The sequence below is a fragment of the Homo sapiens genome, chromosome 4 (genome assembly GCF_000001405.40).
Source record: "Homo sapiens chromosome 4, GRCh38.p14 Primary Assembly".
Classification (NCBI taxonomy): domain Eukaryota; kingdom Metazoa; phylum Chordata; class Mammalia; order Primates; family Hominidae; genus Homo; species Homo sapiens.
This window is the reverse complement of record NC_000004.12, coordinates 109,418,707-109,435,210: the sequence shown is the minus strand read 5'-3', so window position 1 is coordinate 109,435,210 and position 16,504 is coordinate 109,418,707. Positions and strand designations below refer to the sequence as shown.

At 43.4% G+C, this 16,504-nt stretch overlaps 1 protein-coding gene and 1 long non-coding RNA gene across 8 annotated transcripts in view, besides 7 other annotated features; one reads left to right on the top strand and one right to left on the bottom strand.

The window, feature by feature from the left end:
- SEC24B (SEC24 homolog B, COPII component) overlaps positions 1 to 1,396 on the bottom strand; it is a 107,082-nt gene extending 105,686 nt beyond the window's left edge. For all 7 annotated transcript variants that reach the window (NM_001300813.3, NM_006323.5, NM_001318085.2 and 4 more), the window contains exon 1: positions 1,209 to 1,396. In NM_001300813.3, the coding sequence (NP_001287742.1) occupies positions 1,209 to 1,341 (133 nt within the window). In that variant the 5' untranslated portion in view covers positions 1,342 to 1,396. The remainder of the gene's footprint in view (positions 1 to 1,208) is intronic.
- Positions 384 to 678: a silencer, noted in NCBI's record as "tiled region #6018; K562 Repressive non-DNase unmatched - State 2:TssF". NCBI's record gives its function as "represses a minimal TATA promoter and a strong SV40 promoter by Sharpr-MPRA in K562 cells {active_cell/tissue: K562}" and the evidence as "EXISTENCE:reporter gene assay evidence [ECO:0000049][PMID:27701403]".
- Positions 417 to 566: an enhancer, noted in NCBI's record as "active region_21801". NCBI's record gives its function as "activates an Ori minimal core promoter by ATAC-STARR-seq in GM12878 lymphoblastoid cells {active_cell/tissue: GM12878}" and the evidence as "EXISTENCE:reporter gene assay evidence [ECO:0000049][PMID:35858748]".
- Positions 643 to 1,502: an enhancer, noted in NCBI's record as "H3K27ac hESC enhancer chr4:110354865-110355724 (GRCh37/hg19 assembly coordinates)". NCBI's record gives its function as "activates a minimal SCP1, AML or CMV promoter by ChIP-STARR-seq in naive H9 embryonic stem cells {active_cell/tissue: H9 hESC(naive)}" and the evidence as "EXISTENCE:reporter gene assay evidence [ECO:0000049][PMID:30033119]".
- Positions 643 to 1,766: a biological region, named in NCBI's record as "H3K27ac hESC enhancer GRCh37_chr4:110354865-110355724".
- Positions 1,057 to 1,326: a silencer, noted in NCBI's record as "silent region_15622". NCBI's record gives its function as "represses an Ori minimal core promoter by ATAC-STARR-seq in GM12878 lymphoblastoid cells {active_cell/tissue: GM12878}" and the evidence as "EXISTENCE:reporter gene assay evidence [ECO:0000049][PMID:35858748]".
- Positions 1,377 to 1,766: a silencer, noted in NCBI's record as "silent region_15621". NCBI's record gives its function as "represses an Ori minimal core promoter by ATAC-STARR-seq in GM12878 lymphoblastoid cells {active_cell/tissue: GM12878}" and the evidence as "EXISTENCE:reporter gene assay evidence [ECO:0000049][PMID:35858748]".
- Positions 1,394 to 5,248, top strand: SEC24B-AS1 (SEC24B antisense RNA 1). The gene is made up of 3 exons (NR_039978.1): positions 1,394 to 1,477; positions 3,465 to 3,519; positions 4,431 to 5,248. It is a non-coding gene; the product is annotated as an SEC24B antisense RNA 1 (long non-coding RNA).
- Positions 15,621 to 16,158: an enhancer, noted in NCBI's record as "OCT4-NANOG hESC enhancer chr4:110340209-110340746 (GRCh37/hg19 assembly coordinates)". NCBI's record gives its function as "activates a minimal SCP1, AML or CMV promoter by ChIP-STARR-seq in primed H9 embryonic stem cells {active_cell/tissue: H9 hESC(primed)}" and the evidence as "EXISTENCE:reporter gene assay evidence [ECO:0000049][PMID:30033119]".

Sequence of the window (16,504 nt, the reverse complement as noted above, 5' to 3'; positions counted from 1 at the left end):
TCACTCAACTTCTGATCCTCAGGACAAACGATACACTTCATGTTTGAAAAGCATCAGTTGTAAAACTTAGATGTTGATTAAACTAATTCATAAAGTCCAGCAGATTTTCATTAGGAAATTAGATAAAACAGGTCAATCATCTGGAGAGTACTAATGCAGTTTGGTTCTCGTACCAACACAGGACAGAGGTATTTTTCTAAATTCAGTCAATTACTTTCCAAGGTTCTCATCTGACATACTAAGAAGTCTGTAAGGAGAATTCCTCCACCCTTGGCCCCTATCCGCGAACATTCCAAATCTCAGCATTAGGGAATGCATATCCATCATTTTGCAGCCTACTAAAAGCCCACGACCTTAATATGAAAGCGGCTTTCGTGCTGCATTTGGCTGCTGCCTGTATGAAGGCCCTGCCTCAAAGCAGGGCCAACTCTGGCACGTTTTTTCATCTCTGAAAGTGGAGCTAGGAAAAACACCCAGATCTAAAGATGTTCGTTTAAATCCGTTTACATCTGCTCCCTTTCAAACACTACAAGCAAACTCCAAAAGCTTGAGCAGCAGCCGCAGCGGCAATGACAGTTCTTGAGGCCGAACTGGGTCAGGGTTACAGTTACACTTATATAGCATATTTACACCCTTTTGTCTACAAACTTGAGTGCAAACTTAAGTTTCCTCAAGGCAGCGTGTTCGCTGGGCCTCGGGAACCGAAGCAATTTTCCTGAGACAGGAAGGGCACAATCCACCCTGCTGGGTGGCTGCACCAGCCTTCTCCGGACCACGCACTCAGCGGCCTCGGCTTCTGGCCAGCTCTCGCAGCCAAGGGGTCGCTCGGGGCAACTCGCCCGCGTCCAGGCTAGGTAACTGGGTTTTACTACGTGGGCTCCCAGCTTTTCAGTCGCCCCTACTCGCCCGAGGCCGTTTCGGGCCTGGGGTCGCATTACATAAACAGCCACGGCCCCAGCTTTCCCAGGCCGGCCCCCGCCCCCACGCCAGGGGCGTCCCACCCCCGCGCGCCCCGCGCCGTGCCTTCCCTGCCCCCTACCCGCACCCAACCCGGACCCCGCGGCCTCCGCACCGCGCCCGCTCCCGTCCCTCGGGCCGGGCCTGGCCCCGAACGCCCTTCCCGGCCCGGCCCGCCCCGCCCCGATGTGGCCGTGCAGGCCGCCCAGCCGGTGCTAGGCCCCGCGCTCCGCCCGGGCCGCCCGCCTCACCGTTCTGCTGGTGCGGCGCCGGGCCCGCACCCGGGCCCGCGGGCGCTGCGGCTCCTGAGACGGCCGCTCCGCCGAACTTGGGCGGGATCCGGGCGCTGGCGGCCGGGTGAGAGGACCCGGCGGGGGCCGACATGACGGCGCTGGTGGCGACGGCGGCTCCGCTTCAGGGAGGTGGGCGGAGGGAAGGGAAGGCGGGGCCGGAGAGGAGAGAGGAAGAGGAAGGAACGCGCCTGGCGTCACTGAGGGTGTCACCCGGGACCGCGGCTCAGGTACCCAAGCTTCTCCGCGAGTCCAGCGCTGCCACTCGGCGGCCGCCGCGGGCGCGGGGATCCTGGGTCGCTCCGCCTTGACCCACGCGCCCCACGCCCCGGGACTTACACCTGGGGTCGCTCCCCGCACGCGCGGGCCTCGCGCCGGTGCCGCCGCAGCGCCCCCTGCAGGCCGGAGCCGAGCTGGCCCAGGCCTGAGTCTGGCCCGGGGTTCCGTGGCCCCAGTGCCGGCCCCGCGGCTGCTGCTCCGGCCCGGCCAGGTGCCTTCGTGTTGAGGCGAAAGGACTGGGCCTCAGTGGGTGAAGGGACCGGGTGGCCCGCTTCCACCTAGGGCAGAGGCTGGATCGGCCGCGGCGAGGCTGGGCCCAGCATTACTGGGAGGGGAACTTGAGAGCCGCGGGTTGATGTTCGGAGCTCAGGCGACGACTGACCACCCACCCTTCCTCGAAGAGGAACAATGGCTTGGGTTTGGTTTTTAATTTTTGATTCCCCCACCTCCCCTTTCTTGATTCCAAAGGAAATATAGCATTCAAGCGCCATGTCTGTTGGGAATATATAATTCCTTGGCAAAGAAAGAGGAAACATTTCTCTGATAAACACAAGAATCTCAGTAAGAATTGCATTATTGAGAACTTTTCCCACTGATAAAGTAGGGAAGAGGAAGGGGAAAATAGGGTAAGGGAATGCTGGAAGACAAACTTTAAACTTTATCTCCTTTTTTTTTTTTTTTTTTGTCGATTGTTGGTGCATCCTGTTGGTGTTCCGAGAAGTTGTGGCTCAGCTTGCTTTGTCTACATTAGTGGAATCTTTAAGTCTTTCTGGTCTGTCTCAGCATACTCACTGGCAGGCCCTAGACTACATTACCCAAGTCATTTTGCCGTCTTGGAATCCTGAGTATGTCATCACTCTGTATTGGAGATGAGATTGCTCAGAAACACTGAATTCAGAATGGGATCTAGCAAGATGGTATTTCTGGAGCAATAAGTCATTTACTGAATGATTATGCAAAGCATAAATTGCATTGTAGTCCTAGAATAATACAAAGCTTCCCTTTAGTTGTTGCCGTAAATTAATAACTGGCATTTTAATGCACTAAATGAATTTTAGTAGTTAGATTTATATCTTTGACTTCTAGGAATTTCAACTACATTAGAGTTCATATACACAAAAGGGGCAAGCCCTTTTCCACAGCATTTCCAGCTTCTCCACAGAAACCTAGCCCCACATGAGCAAAAGATCACACTCTGTGCTTCATCAAAGAGATTACACAATTACAGATTCCAGCATCTCCCAGGAGTCCTTTGAATTTGGATTAAGGTCTATAATTACGTGGGTAAGGGAATAACTAGGTAATTGGCTTTCTGCACCTGGAATGTATTCTCCTGGGTATAAGAGGCTCCTTTTAATCAGAAGTATATGGGATGAAAGTGAACCCTGTCTCTTAAGGGGAGACTCCTTAAGAGGAGGATTGGGGCCCTGTGTTTTAATAGATCTTCTCCACAATCTTTAATACCTAAGCTCCTTCCCCTTGTCCACTAATTTGCTGTAGAATTTTTCTAGCATGTTTATGATGGTGTTCAGGGCACACTACCCCAAAATATAACACCTTGGCATATTGAATGTTTTAAGCTGATGGAATTTGAGAAATGGCAGGTGTGAGGACTCTGACCTTCCCATGAAGCAGGTCATAAGACCCTCATGTGAGAGATGCCCTCTCTATACCTGGAGAAAAGAAGCAGTCTTATTTGTGAAGACAGAGAGACGCCAAGAGGAATCTAAATGAATAGGCCTTGGTAGGTTTCCCCCAGTTTACTGCCCTTAGCCCATCTTTTTGTCTTATCACAGTTTTCCATAACAGTCTACTCTTCATCAAGCTTGGTATAAAACGCTCAGGTTTCTTCAGGTCTTCGTTTCCTTATGAAGGCTCTGGTGCCATGTAAAACTTACATTAAATATCATACATTCATATGCCTTTCTTTTGTTACAGGAACCCCAGACGCACGGGCCTTGTGCTGTCGCTGCCGTGGCACCCCTTCTAGAAGGTAGATATTTTTCCTCCTGACAAACACTACAACCTTTATGAAAATATTTCACTCTTTTGCTTTAATTTCCATTACTACTATAAGTGAAAAAAGGATGAAGAATTGAATGAATAGGATTGAACCATCTACTAGGCACTGTGCTTGTAAATCTAGATATGTATTTTTTTCTATTTAATCCTAACAATAACTCCATGGGATATTTTTCTTATCCCTATTTTATCTGTGAAGAAACTAATGTTTATAGAGCTGAAGTAATCTTAGTAAAAATCATGAACCTGGAATTAGCAGAACCAGCGGTCAAACCAAGGATTATTTAGCTCCAGACCATTGCTTTACTATAAACTATACTGGGTTAATTTACATTTTTCTTCATAAAGCTATGCTAGTTATGATTTACTGTCTTGCTGTCAAAAGATTTTCAGTTTTTCATATTTAGAATTTGTTCCAGTGTACTCTACAATGGTAGATCTCAGAGTTTTTGAAATGCAGATTTGTGGGCCCAAACCCTGGACCGTATACTGATTCAGAAGTGGTGGAGATAGGGCCCTACAGCAAGCTCTCCAGGCAATTCTGATGCATGGGGAAGTTTGAGGACCACTGCTTTTGAATAGCAGAGTTAAGCTGAATTGGTTCATTCTCTTACTTTGGAAGATGATGGTCCTTTCTTTCAGGACATCTCTTCAATCTTTTACAGACCAATAAAAGTGATATTTTGTAGATTTGTGATTACAGTGTCACAAATGCCAATTATGATGTTTCCTATGTCAACTCAGATTCTCTGAGGTATAGTGTTGATGCAGATGCTGAGGCCAAGTCTGTTCAGTGAGAAAGAGTGGGTAATTGAATTAATCTCTGCTGCATATATGGAAGTGAAATAATACGTGTGTTACTATTTGTCATCCCCAACTTAGGACTCTATTCTCTATAACAGAAGTGGGAGCCTTGGACAACTGAACGCCTATCTCTAGCTCAAGAAATGTCAGCTCTTTTTTTTTTTTTGAGACTGTCACCCAGTCGGGAGTACAGTGGCGCCATCTTGGCTCTCTGTAACCTCCACCTCCTGGGTTCAAGCGATTCTCCTGCCTCAGCCTCCTGAGTAGCTGGGGCTACAGGTATGCACCATCACTCCTGGCTAATTGTTGTATTTTTAGTAGATAATGGGGTTTCACCATGTTGGCCAGGGTGGTCTCAAACTCCTGACCTCAGGTGATCTGCCTGCCTCGGCCTCCCAAAGTGCTGGGATTACAGACGTGAGCCACCATGCCCAGCCAAGAAATGTCAATTCTTTATCGTAGCCTGGCTTTCCATATTTCTCACTAGGGTTTTTATTCTCTAGTTTGTAAATCACATTTGGCGTTTGTAGATCACTCCTTCCCTTTTAGTGGCATTCTCTATTAGGTGTCCATCTCCCAATATGAAGAAACAGTTTTCTGCTTTTTCCTCCTTTATCTGATCCATTTACAGATTTATTACATTTATAATAGGCTAGGTATTGGGGATACAAAAATGAATAAGATATGGTCTGTTTTCAAAGGTATGCAGAAACTTTTCTATATATTCCTACTGACTTGTATTTGTATTTCTTGAATTAAAAACAATCCTGGCTGTGTTTTTTTTTTTTTTTTTTTGCTCTTAGTGAATCTTTGTTTCTTCTTTTCATTATGGCATTCCAGTTGAGTTTCACCACGCATTATCATGAGAATAAATAATTTCACTGACTTTAATAATATTTGATCACTTATGTTGATGTCATTTAACTCTCATTTACATTTCAGTGGTCTAAAACACAACTAAGATACTAAAAGAAAAATAAAAGATGAGATTATTGGCAAATAATTACCACATAGTCAACTCATGAACAATAGTGCATGCACTTACAGGAAATTCTCTGATTGTCACATAAACTATTTGGCTGTTGTTTCAGACATGCTGTAATTTCTGTAGTTAGACACTTAACTAGTCCACAGCAGATTAGAAACTATGAATCACAAGGCAAGGGAAGGAAATGCTGTTAATATAGGTAGTTTGAGAGGAGCAATCTCTATTAGTTGGCAGAATAAGCACAGGAAAAACAAGACAATTAGAAAAATGAATTAAAAATGCACGGTATTCTGACACAATTAGTTACATTGAACAACCCTATGTATTCCACTGGAAATATGATAAACATAGTCCACAAGTCTCTGCCATCTGAGAAATTTATAACCTAGTATTCTGAAGGAAATAAAGTGAAGGGAACTGTCACATACCGAACACCTGCTTTATAACTTGAAAGCGCTTTATGACATCACCATATATCAGGACCAAAACAGATATTCATAGATTTGGTCCTCAATTGCAAAGAAAAATTAAATTATGTTCTGTACTCTGTTTCAGAAGACCAGAGGAATACAGAACCCATTTTGGAACTTTAGAAACTCTTACATATGAACAGGTTAGGTTCCAAAATTTCCATTGTTCGTAAGTCCCAATACTCACAAGTTCGGAGTAAGCCACATATGCATTTCCAGAAAACAGAAAAGTGAGGCAGTCCTTTGAAACTTTAGAACAAAGCTTACTCTTCTTTTTACTGATATAAGTTGTATAGTGGTGCAACCCAGACTAAGGCGCATATGAATCTCTTGATGATCACGTTAAAATGAAGATGCTTATTGGGTAGGGTTAGAATGACCTGAGAATCTGCATTTCTAGCAAGCTCCCAGGTGATGCTGATGCTGATGCTGCTGATCCATGGACCACACTTTGAGTAGCAAGGTTCCAAAGGGCATTTTTTGTTGGATTTACATTTGAAGTCCCTTAAGGAAGGAAATGCCCCTCCTTAATGAGCCTAAAGGAACTTCTTAGCAGCTGGCGTATATTCACACCTGCTACCACTCATGTTGATGTTGTACAGATTAAAATGTGCCTAGCGCTCTTGCTTTCCATAACTTTACTTTCTTAGGCCTTTAAGATACTTGAACCATCTCCTAATGGGTTAATGGGTGCCCAGAGTTGACACTGATCCTCTCATCACATGGTCAACAGTGTGTACATTTTGTCAATTACTTTTCTTCTTACTGATTATTGTTATATAAAAATGGTGAATTAGTCTGCTTTGGCCACCATAACAAAATACCTTAAACGAGGTGGCTTAAACAACAGAAATGTGTTTTCCCACAATTCTGGAAGCTGGAAGTCTGAGATGAGAGTGCCAGCATGATCAGGTTCTGGTAAAGGTTCTCCTCCTGGCTTGTAGATGGCCACCTTCTCACTGGTCCATACATGGCAGGCAGAGATGGGGAGAGAGAAAGTTGTCTGGTGTCTCGGTATAAGGGCACCAGTTCTATTGGACAAGGCTCTGCCTTTACGACTGCATTTAACCTTAATCACCTCCTTAAAGGCCCTCTCTTCAATATAGTTACATGTGGGGTTAGGGCTTCAACATATGGATTTTGGAGGTACAGAATTCAGTCCATAGCAAATGGCATTTTCATATGGCATGAGTCACTCTTTGCTTTTCAGAATTGTTCCCAATTTCAACTGGGTCATACCACTTTATTGTATATTTATTACTATGAATTTTCATTTTTCAATCTCTGCTTTTTTAATCTTCACATCACTCTTACTACCACCTTCAAAATTCTCACTGCTTTCTCACTGACATCAATGTTGGGATTAATATTTATAAAGCACATTTTAAAACATAAACTCATAATAGGCCCCAAATTAATAAAAAGATGACCTACATCAGGGCACCACTACACCAGGGCACACTGAATGAGTGCAATTCATTAAAAGATGTATTAAGATATTAATCCTCTTCAGACATTGGGACAACTAGGGGGTACTCAAGTGATCCTCAGGCTAGTCTCCTTTGGCTGCAAGCATCCTTGTCTTTTACCCAACAAAAATATCCTTATTTTCTAGCTATGTTATAACATGAAGAGGCTGGGAAGCACTGCCCTAGACTAAAATTACTAAATTACTGTGCACAATCTTCAGTGCCATCTGCTGGAAGGAGACAAAGTTACTATACTATGGTTCTAGAAGGTAGATTTATGTATTCGTTCATTCATTTGAGACAGGGTCTCACTCTGTTGCCCAGGCTAGAATGCAGTGGTGCAATTACAGCTCACTGCAGCCTTGACCTCCTAGGCTCAAGTGACCCTCCTGCATTAGCCTCCCAAGCAGCTGGGATTACAGGAGTGCACCACCACACCGGGCTAATTTTTTAAAATTTTTAGTAGAGGTGAAGTCTTGCTGTGTTGCCCAGGTTGGTCTCTCAAGTAATCCTCCAGCCTTGGCCTCCCAAAGTGCTGGGATTACAGGTGTGAGCCACCATGCCCAGCCTAGATTTATTTTTATGTATAAAACTAAGTTAAAAGATCATACGAAGGGGTATTTCTGTGTTACAAAGGATTGGTTTTAAAACTTTTTTTACTAGTTGAAAGGATAAACTTCAATTACCTGAAAAATGTAAAACACAACTGTTTCTTTAAAAGAGAAAAAGCTAGACAAAAAATGTTGTTGGGGCAGACACAGTGGCTCACACCTGTAATCCCAACAGTTTTGGAGGCCAAGGTGGGAGGATCACTTAAGCCCAGGAATTTGAGACCAACCTGGGCAACAGAGTGAGACCTTGTCTGTACAAAAAGTTAAAAAATTAGCCAGGTGTGGTGGCGTGTGCCTGTGGTCCTAGCTACTCAGGAGGCTGAGGCAGGAGGACCACTTGGGCCTAGGAGGTCAAGCCTGCAGTGAGCCATAATTGTGCCACTTACACACTCCAGCCTGGGCAGCAGAGTGAGACTCTGTCTCAAAAATAAATAAATAAATAAATAAAATTGTTGAACATACTAATTCAGTTAGAAAGGACACACTTTTAAAAAAGAATATTGATAAGTCAGAGCACCACTATGATGGCAGGGTGTTTACAAAGCTTGTGGTACACCATATACAAAAATCAACTCAAAATGGACTAAAGACTTAAAAACCTGAAACTATAAAACTAATAGGAGAAAACATAGGGAGAGATCGTGCCACTGCACTCTAGCACAGCGACAGAGTGAGAGTCTGTCTCAAAAAAATGAAAAAATTAAAAGATTTTTCCGTATAACAACTTTCTTCTTCACTAACGAAAAGTAGAAATCTAGTATAGTCCTGTAGACAGTTTCTATGTAATAGATTAAAACAAGTTAAAACAGGAATTTCTCCCATAAGATTCTCTCCTTCTAAATACAACAGAGTAGAAGGGGCAGGTGTGGTGGCTCATGCCTATAATCCCAGGACTTTGGGAGGCCAAAGCAGGAGGATCGTTTGAGACGGGAGTTTGAGATCAGCCTGGGTGCATAGAGATACCCTATCTCTACAAAATAATTAGAAATTAGCCCGGCATGGTGACACAGCCTTGTAGTCCTAGCTGCTCAGGAAGCTGAGGTGGGAGGATTGCTTGAGCCCAGGTGGTTGAGGCTGCAATGAGTCAGATATATATATCTGGCTTTATATATACACCTTTGTTTTATATGTATATTATATACTTTATTATATATACATAAAACAAAGTAGAGAATGTTAGTCCCCGGAATTTCTCTGTAAGAAAATGTCTCATGCAAAAATCATTCAGGAGGAGAAAAATATACTTTGTAGGGGATGCTACATGCTTCTTGCCAAGAAGAGAGAGAGAAATGGGAGGCCATTAGCTGTCTTCTATGTATGGTTGGTGGGCAGGGGTACAAGAGAAGCTTCTCACTTTTACACCATGTGGGAAGAAGGTAGTGAACAGGGTAGAAAGAAAACTGTGAGATAACAACATGGAAGGATTGGGAGATTGAAAGAGGAGGAGAATTTTAGCAGCCGTCATAAGTAGGGAACTTTGGAGGGAGGAGAGATATAGAGAAGTATTGTTGGAAGCTTTACTTTCTATTTTTCTGGGAGAGACCCCTGTGTTACACCTTTACGGAAACTCATAATAAAAATCTCGATCGTTTATCAACATTAGTCTCATTATTTTTGAACGAGAATCCCCACAGAAATGATATCACATGACACTTGAGTTGTAAATTGTACAAACTGCATTCAGAAGCCATCACCAAGGCCTAGCTGTTCTTTTTCCTGAATCTAGACCATTTATGTCATATGAGTATCTACTTTCCAAAACTGAAAGCTCCTCACTTGGTCTTCCACAGAACTCCAGTGGAGCTCTAAATTGTATAGCTGAAAATGGGGCATATAATTCATACACTTTCACCATAATTCAGGGCAGGGAGGGAATGTCACTGGTTATGGTATCTGTTAGTTTTCCCTGTTAACTGACATTTGGAAAATATGTGCTCTGAGACACTCACACTTTGGGTTTAGATAACGTTTCTTCTCTCGGTGTCTGTGTTTCATGTTGTTGTTGTAATTGGCCAATAGCGCTGTAGTTGCTGCCAATATATAAGTTTGTTGCAGATACAAAATATGGACATTTTGATAGTTAATGTGCACACACACATAATACACAATAGGCATAGTCATAATTTTGTTACATGATCATTTGGCACAAATGATGAAACTGTGCACAAGTTACTATAATTAATGCCCTATACTTTCTTTTTCTTTCTTCTTTTTTTTTTTTTGAAACAGAGCTTTGCTTTTGTAGCCCAGGCTGGAGTGCAATGGCTCAATCTCAGCTCACTGCAACCTCCGTCTCCTAGGTTCAAGTGATTCTCCTGCCTCAGCCTCCGAAGTAGCTGGGATTACAAGCATGCACCATGCCCCGCTAATTTTGTATTTTTAGTAGTGTAGGGTCCAGCCCTACAGGGCCTGTGGGTTTTTCCTTAGTGTGCAGAGATGAGAGATTGTAGAAAAATAGACATGAGACAAAGAAATAGAAGGAAACACAGCTGGGCCCAGGGGACCACTACCACCAATGCGCGAAGCCTGGTAGTGACCCTGAATGCCTGGACACACTGCTATTTATTGTATGCAAGGCAAGGGGGCAGGGTAAGGAGTTTGAGTCATCTCAAATGATTAATAAGGTCAAGCAAGTCACGTGTCCACGTGACGGGGGGCCTTTCCCTTTGTGATAGCTGAAGCAGAGAGGGAGGACAGTATATGTCAGCATTTCTTCTGTGCACTTATCAGGAAGATCAAAGACTTTAGTACTTTCACTAATTTTGTTACTGCTATCTTTTAAGAACTTAAAAGGAGGTGCCAGGTGTACAGGCAGAACATGAAAGTGGACAAGGAGCATGACCACTGAAGCACAGCACCACAGATGTTTAAGCCTCCAGATGACTGCGGGCAGGCCTGGCTAATGTCAGGACTCCCACAAGAGTTGGTGGAGCAGTGTTCTCTAACTCCCCCCGGGGAAAGGGAGACTCGCTTTCCCGGTCTGCTAAGTAACGGGTGCCTTCCCAGGCACTGGCGCTACCGCTAGACCAAGGTCTGCCGAGTAACGGGTGCCTTCCCAGGCACTGGCCCTACCGCTAGACCAAGGTCTGCCAAGTAATGGGTGCTTTCCCAGGCACTGACCTTACCGCTAGACCAAGGAACCCTCAAGCGGCCCTTATCCGGGCGTGACAGAGGGCTCACACTCTTGTCCTTTGGTTACTTCTCACCATGTCCCTTCAGCTCCTGACTCTGTATGGCCTGGTGTTTTCTAGGTTATGATTATAAAACAGAGATTATTATAATACTAAAAGAGCAACACTACCAACTAAAGATTGATAATATTCATATATAATCATGTCTATATCTTATTTTTAGTATAACTTTTTGTATTCTAATTATTTTCTTTTATTATACTGGAACAGCTTGTGCCTTCAGTCTCTTGCCTCAGCACCTGGGTGGCTTTCCGCCCACAAGTAGAGATGGGGTTTCTGCATGTTGGTCAGGCTGGTCTCGAACTCCCGACCTCAGGTGATCCACCTGCCTCGGCCTCCCAAAGTGCTGAGATTATAGGCATGAGCCACCGTGCCCAGCCTGCTTACTTTCAAAATAAGGTAAAAGTCTGAGGAAAAAATAATAGTTCCCATTTCTGGAGCATTTAGGCTGTGCCAGGCATTGTTCTATGTATGTTCATGTATTATTTCCTCAAAAAAGTACACACTTTAATTCTGCAGATGAGAAATCTGAAACTCAAAGAGATTGAGAATCTTCTCCACACACATGATTATCCCAATAATCTGGTGAGTTGAATGAGAAATAGAAGTCAAAGAGGAAGAAGGCAGGGTTGCCTGAAAGATTCCAGAATCTGGATATAAAGGTGCATTCTCCAGCAGCTGCTGATGGCCACTAACAGGATTTTCTCTTATATATCTTAGTTGGGCATGAAGGGTATGAGAGATTTCAAGCATACTGAGGAATGACACTTTCAATTGCTTCCCCAGCCAAGTAGCTTCAATGGACAGATTACCCAGAATTTAAAACAAGAAAAAATATAATCTAATTAGATCACTTATATTACTTTGTCATTGCCATATCTTTCTAACAATTTAAAAAAAAATGGACTTTTAAAAAAAGCCCCGTATCTGAGGCTCTAAAATCCAACAGTCCTCTTCGTTTTAATGCTTAATTTTGTTTTTGTTTTTGTTTTGAGATGGAGTCTCGCTCTGTCACCAGGCTGGAGTGCAATGGCGCAATCTCAGCTCACTGCAACCTCCGCCTCCCCGGTTCAAGCAATTCTCCTGCCTCAGCCTCCCGAAATGATTAGTTTTACAAACAGACCAGAAGCGGGGCGCAGTGGCTCACGCCTGTAATCCCAGCACTTTAGGAGGCCGAGGTGGGCGGATCACAAGGTCAGGAGTCTGAGACCAACCTGGCCAATATGATGAAACCCCGTCTCTACTAAAAATACAAAAATTAGCCCGTAGTGGTGGCCTGCGCCTGTAGTCCCAGGGCTTGGGAGGCTGAGGCAGGAGAATCGCTTGAACCCGGGAAGCGGAAGTTGCAGTGAGCCAGGATCGCGCTGCTGCACTCCAGCCTGGGCGACAGAGCGAAACTCCGTCTTAAACAAACGAACAAACAAAAAACAAAAACAAACAAACAAAAACCCAAAACAAAAAAACCAGACCAGAAAGCCCCAACCCGCTTTTCCATCTGGACGCTCTTCCTACGTAGTCTACAATGTCGGTGGGCTTCCACCGCCATCTGGTGGACGATGTGTAGATGTGCTCTGACTTGAGGAGACTTCGCTGGCGTGGAGAGGAATGTGATTAATGAGAAGAGTTTTCCATTCATGCAATTGATTTGAAAGCAATGCATAGGAATCTAAAAACTGAATAGATAAAAGTGCTTACTTCTAGGCAATCAAAAAGGGGAACAATTTGTATGTGTTGACTTATTGACTAGGATGAGATGGAACCAAATAAATTAACATTTTCTTTAATGCTGCTAGAATCCTTCAACTTCGCACTACATAGCATGCAACACTTTTTGAACAGTCCCAGCACCATGAATCTGCTTAAGTAAAGCTGTTTATGCAGTCGTCTCATCTGAGAGTACAGGAAACTCTGTATCTACATCCATTTCTGTTTATCTTTATAGTCCCCTTGTCCCACACCTAAAATTTCAACATTAAGAATCTACTTTCTCACTGGGGCCTGTCAGGGGGAGTGGGGGAAGGGAGAGCACCAGGAAAAATAGTTAATGCATGCTGGACTTAGTACCTAGATGATGGGTTGATAGATGCAGCAAACCACCATGGCACATGTTTACCTATGTAAAAAACCTGCACATCCCATACATGTACCCTGGAACTTAAAATCATAAAATAAAATAAAAAGAATCTACTTTCTGAGCTGGGCGCGGTGGCTCACATCTGTAATCCCACCACTTTAGGAGGCTAAGCTGGGAGGATCACTTGATCTTAGTTGTCCAAGACCAGCCTGGGCAACAGAATAAGATCCTGTCTTTATTACAAAAAGAATCTACTCTGTTCTGATAACACTGTACTATTTCTTTTTATTTTAAAATTCAGGTAAAGTTTTGTCTGCATTTTAACCTTAAAGTGTTAGGGTGGGGACGTGGTGGGGGAAAGTGTGTGGCAGAGAATAAGCATTGGTACTGCGGCTACCATATTGTTCTAGCATTTCACCATTGGCACATGACTGCCTTGCACATGGTGATTAGATTGGACCATGGGACCAGTTCTGGTCAGTGAGTTATGCTTTAATATTTTAAAAATCCATAGATTCTAGGCAAATAGTTATCATATGACAATAAGGCAGAGTAGATCTCATAATATTCAGTGATTTGGGGGGTTAATTTCCTTTGTCACTTCTTAGTTTGTAAAACAAATGAGACATTAAGTATATACCATGCTTAATGTCATCTTCTCCTATCATAAATATAGGACAAATGGTATGAATTGTGATACAATATAATGAAATTAATTTTTTTCATACTTCTCAGCACATAGCCACATAAATAAATGCTGCCTTTCAAAGCAATCAGCTTGGGTAATGATACGTTTATTTTAGCAATGTGCATGATATGGTTTGGCTCAATGGTTTGGCTCAATGTTCCCACGCAAATCTCATTTGAATTGTAATCCCCAGTGTTGGGGAGGGACCTGGTGGGAGGTGGTTGGATCATGGGGGCACATTTCTACCTTGCTGTTCTCATAATAGTGAGTGAGTTCTCATGAGATCTGGTTGTTTGAAAATGTGTAGCACTTCCCCCTTCACTCTCTGTCTCTCCTGCTCTGCCATGTGAAGATGTGCCTCCTTCCCCTTCACCTTGCATCATAATTGTAAGTTTCCTGAGTCCACCTCAGAAGCAGACACCAGTACAGCCCACAGAACCATGAGCCAATTAAACTTCTTTTCTTTATAAATACCGAGTCTCAGGTTAGTCTTTATAGCAGTGTGAGAATGGACTAGTACAGTGCTAGTACTCGAAATAAACTGAAAATCGTAAGCTTCAATATTTTCTTAGTTCTGCTGCTCATGCCTGTAATCCCAGCACTTTGAGAAACCAAGGCTGATGGATCACCTGAGGTCAGGAGTTCGAAACCAGTCTGGCCAACATGGCAAAACCCGGTCGCTACTCAAAATAACAAAAATTAGCTGGGTGTGGTGGTGGACACCTGTAATCCCAGCTACGCGAGAGGCTGAGGCAGGGAGAACTGCTTGAACCCAGGAGGCAGAGGTTGCAGTGAGCCAAGATTGCACCACTGCACTCCAGCCTGGGCAACAGACTGACACTCCATCTCAAAAAAAAAAAAAATTGTTTTTTTCTTAGTCTCAGTACCTTTAAATTTGGCTGGGCTCAACCAATAGATAAGCTACTACTAAGCAAGCTATATAAGGAGCCTCAGCCCCATCAGTTGTTGTATCTAATATGTAAACGAATGAGACCTAAGCCCTTCGTGTCGGCCAAAACACATCAAACCTGACCCTGCTCTACCTACATTGGATTGCTTACTAACAAATTTAGGGTCAGCCCTATAGTTGTATAGGTTTACTGGAAGACTTAGTTTCTTCCTTTTAATCTCGACCCAGGTGGCTTGGTGTAGAGAATAACTTATTAGGATACTGTAACCAGACACAGATTTGGCTGCTCATAGCTGAAAAGCCAGACATGAGAGGCGAGGGTTGGTGGAAGGAAAAGCAGGTTTAACTGGAGAGCCAGCAAACCTGGAAGATAGTGAACTAGCTGTCTCAAGTGCCATCTTAAATTTTAAAATTTATCATAGAGTTTTTAAAGGGAAATTTGGTATAGGAGACATGGGGGAGTGGTGCAGGATGTGGGGTCTGTGTGTCTTTGTTCAGATGGCTAGCTTGCGTAATTCTCTCTGGAGGTCTGCTTGGTGTCATCTTTACTGCAGCCCAGTGGTGGTGGACTAACTGTGACCCCTGCTGAGTGGGAGGATGCTGCAGCTGGGACTCCGCACCTGGTTTGTTTCAAGATTAGCCTCTGGAATTTCTTAAGTAGGAACATAATTAGATAAGCTTGCATTGCTGGAGGGGAGTGTCTAGAGAGGGAAGGAATGAAGGGGTAAGAGAGGAGGGAAGGGAGAAAAAGAGAATGGGTGATTAAAAAATATGTTTAAAACTGAGATCCTGGGTTACAATGCTTCTGTCTAGTTCCATTGAGTTTTCCTTCCTCCCTACCCCCATCTACTCCCTGGTTCTCATAGTTACAGCCATTCTTTCACTACATGACCCTGCTTGGACACTTGTTGCTTGGACTAGGAGTAGGCACTTGACAAAAACAAAATTTTGATTTTTGAAAAGGTAAATAAAAGTTCCTTCACTCTCAATTTGAGAGTGAAATAAAATAATCCAGTCTCAGTTTGCAATCTCTCTTAAATGGAGGAGATGTAAATTCTTGAGCTGCAGGGGTCCATCTTCAACCAGACAGAATGCTTACCAACAGCATTTCCCTCCTCTACCTTGTAATCCCATTCATTGATATCAGTGAAGAAAAGGAGGAAAAGGATGAAAGACTGAATGAAGTATCACTGCGAGTGGAGGACTTGCAGAAAGGAGTGACAAAGAGTACTGCTGCCAGTGATGAAGGGCCTGATTCCAGCCCATTCCAGAGTCTCGGCTGTACTCCTACTCCTTATAGTAAGAAATGCTCCCTCCTTTCTATTGAAACTGCATGTTGAGTATCCCCAGTATAAAAGTTTGAAATCCAAAATGCTACGCTGAGCATTTCCTTAGAGTGTCATGTTGGTGCTCAAAAAATTTTGGATTTTGGAGGATTTGGGATTTTCAAATTATGAATACTCAATCTGTAACTTGATAGAGTTTCTGTTTCCCGCAGCCAAATGAGTATAAACCAATACTCCAAGATTCTTGCATGCCTTCTGATAAAATTATTTTAAAAATATCTTCAGAGCCAGTTTATAGGCCAACCACAAAATCAGTTTTACAACATTATAATTACCTTTTATGAGTTTGGTGACATTTAATACAGCATATAATCAGTAAATACTTACTTTGTGCAATGCACAATGCTTGTCAATCAAAGGAATCCAAAGATTAGTAGAAGCTAACAGTTTTTGTGGGAGAGAAAA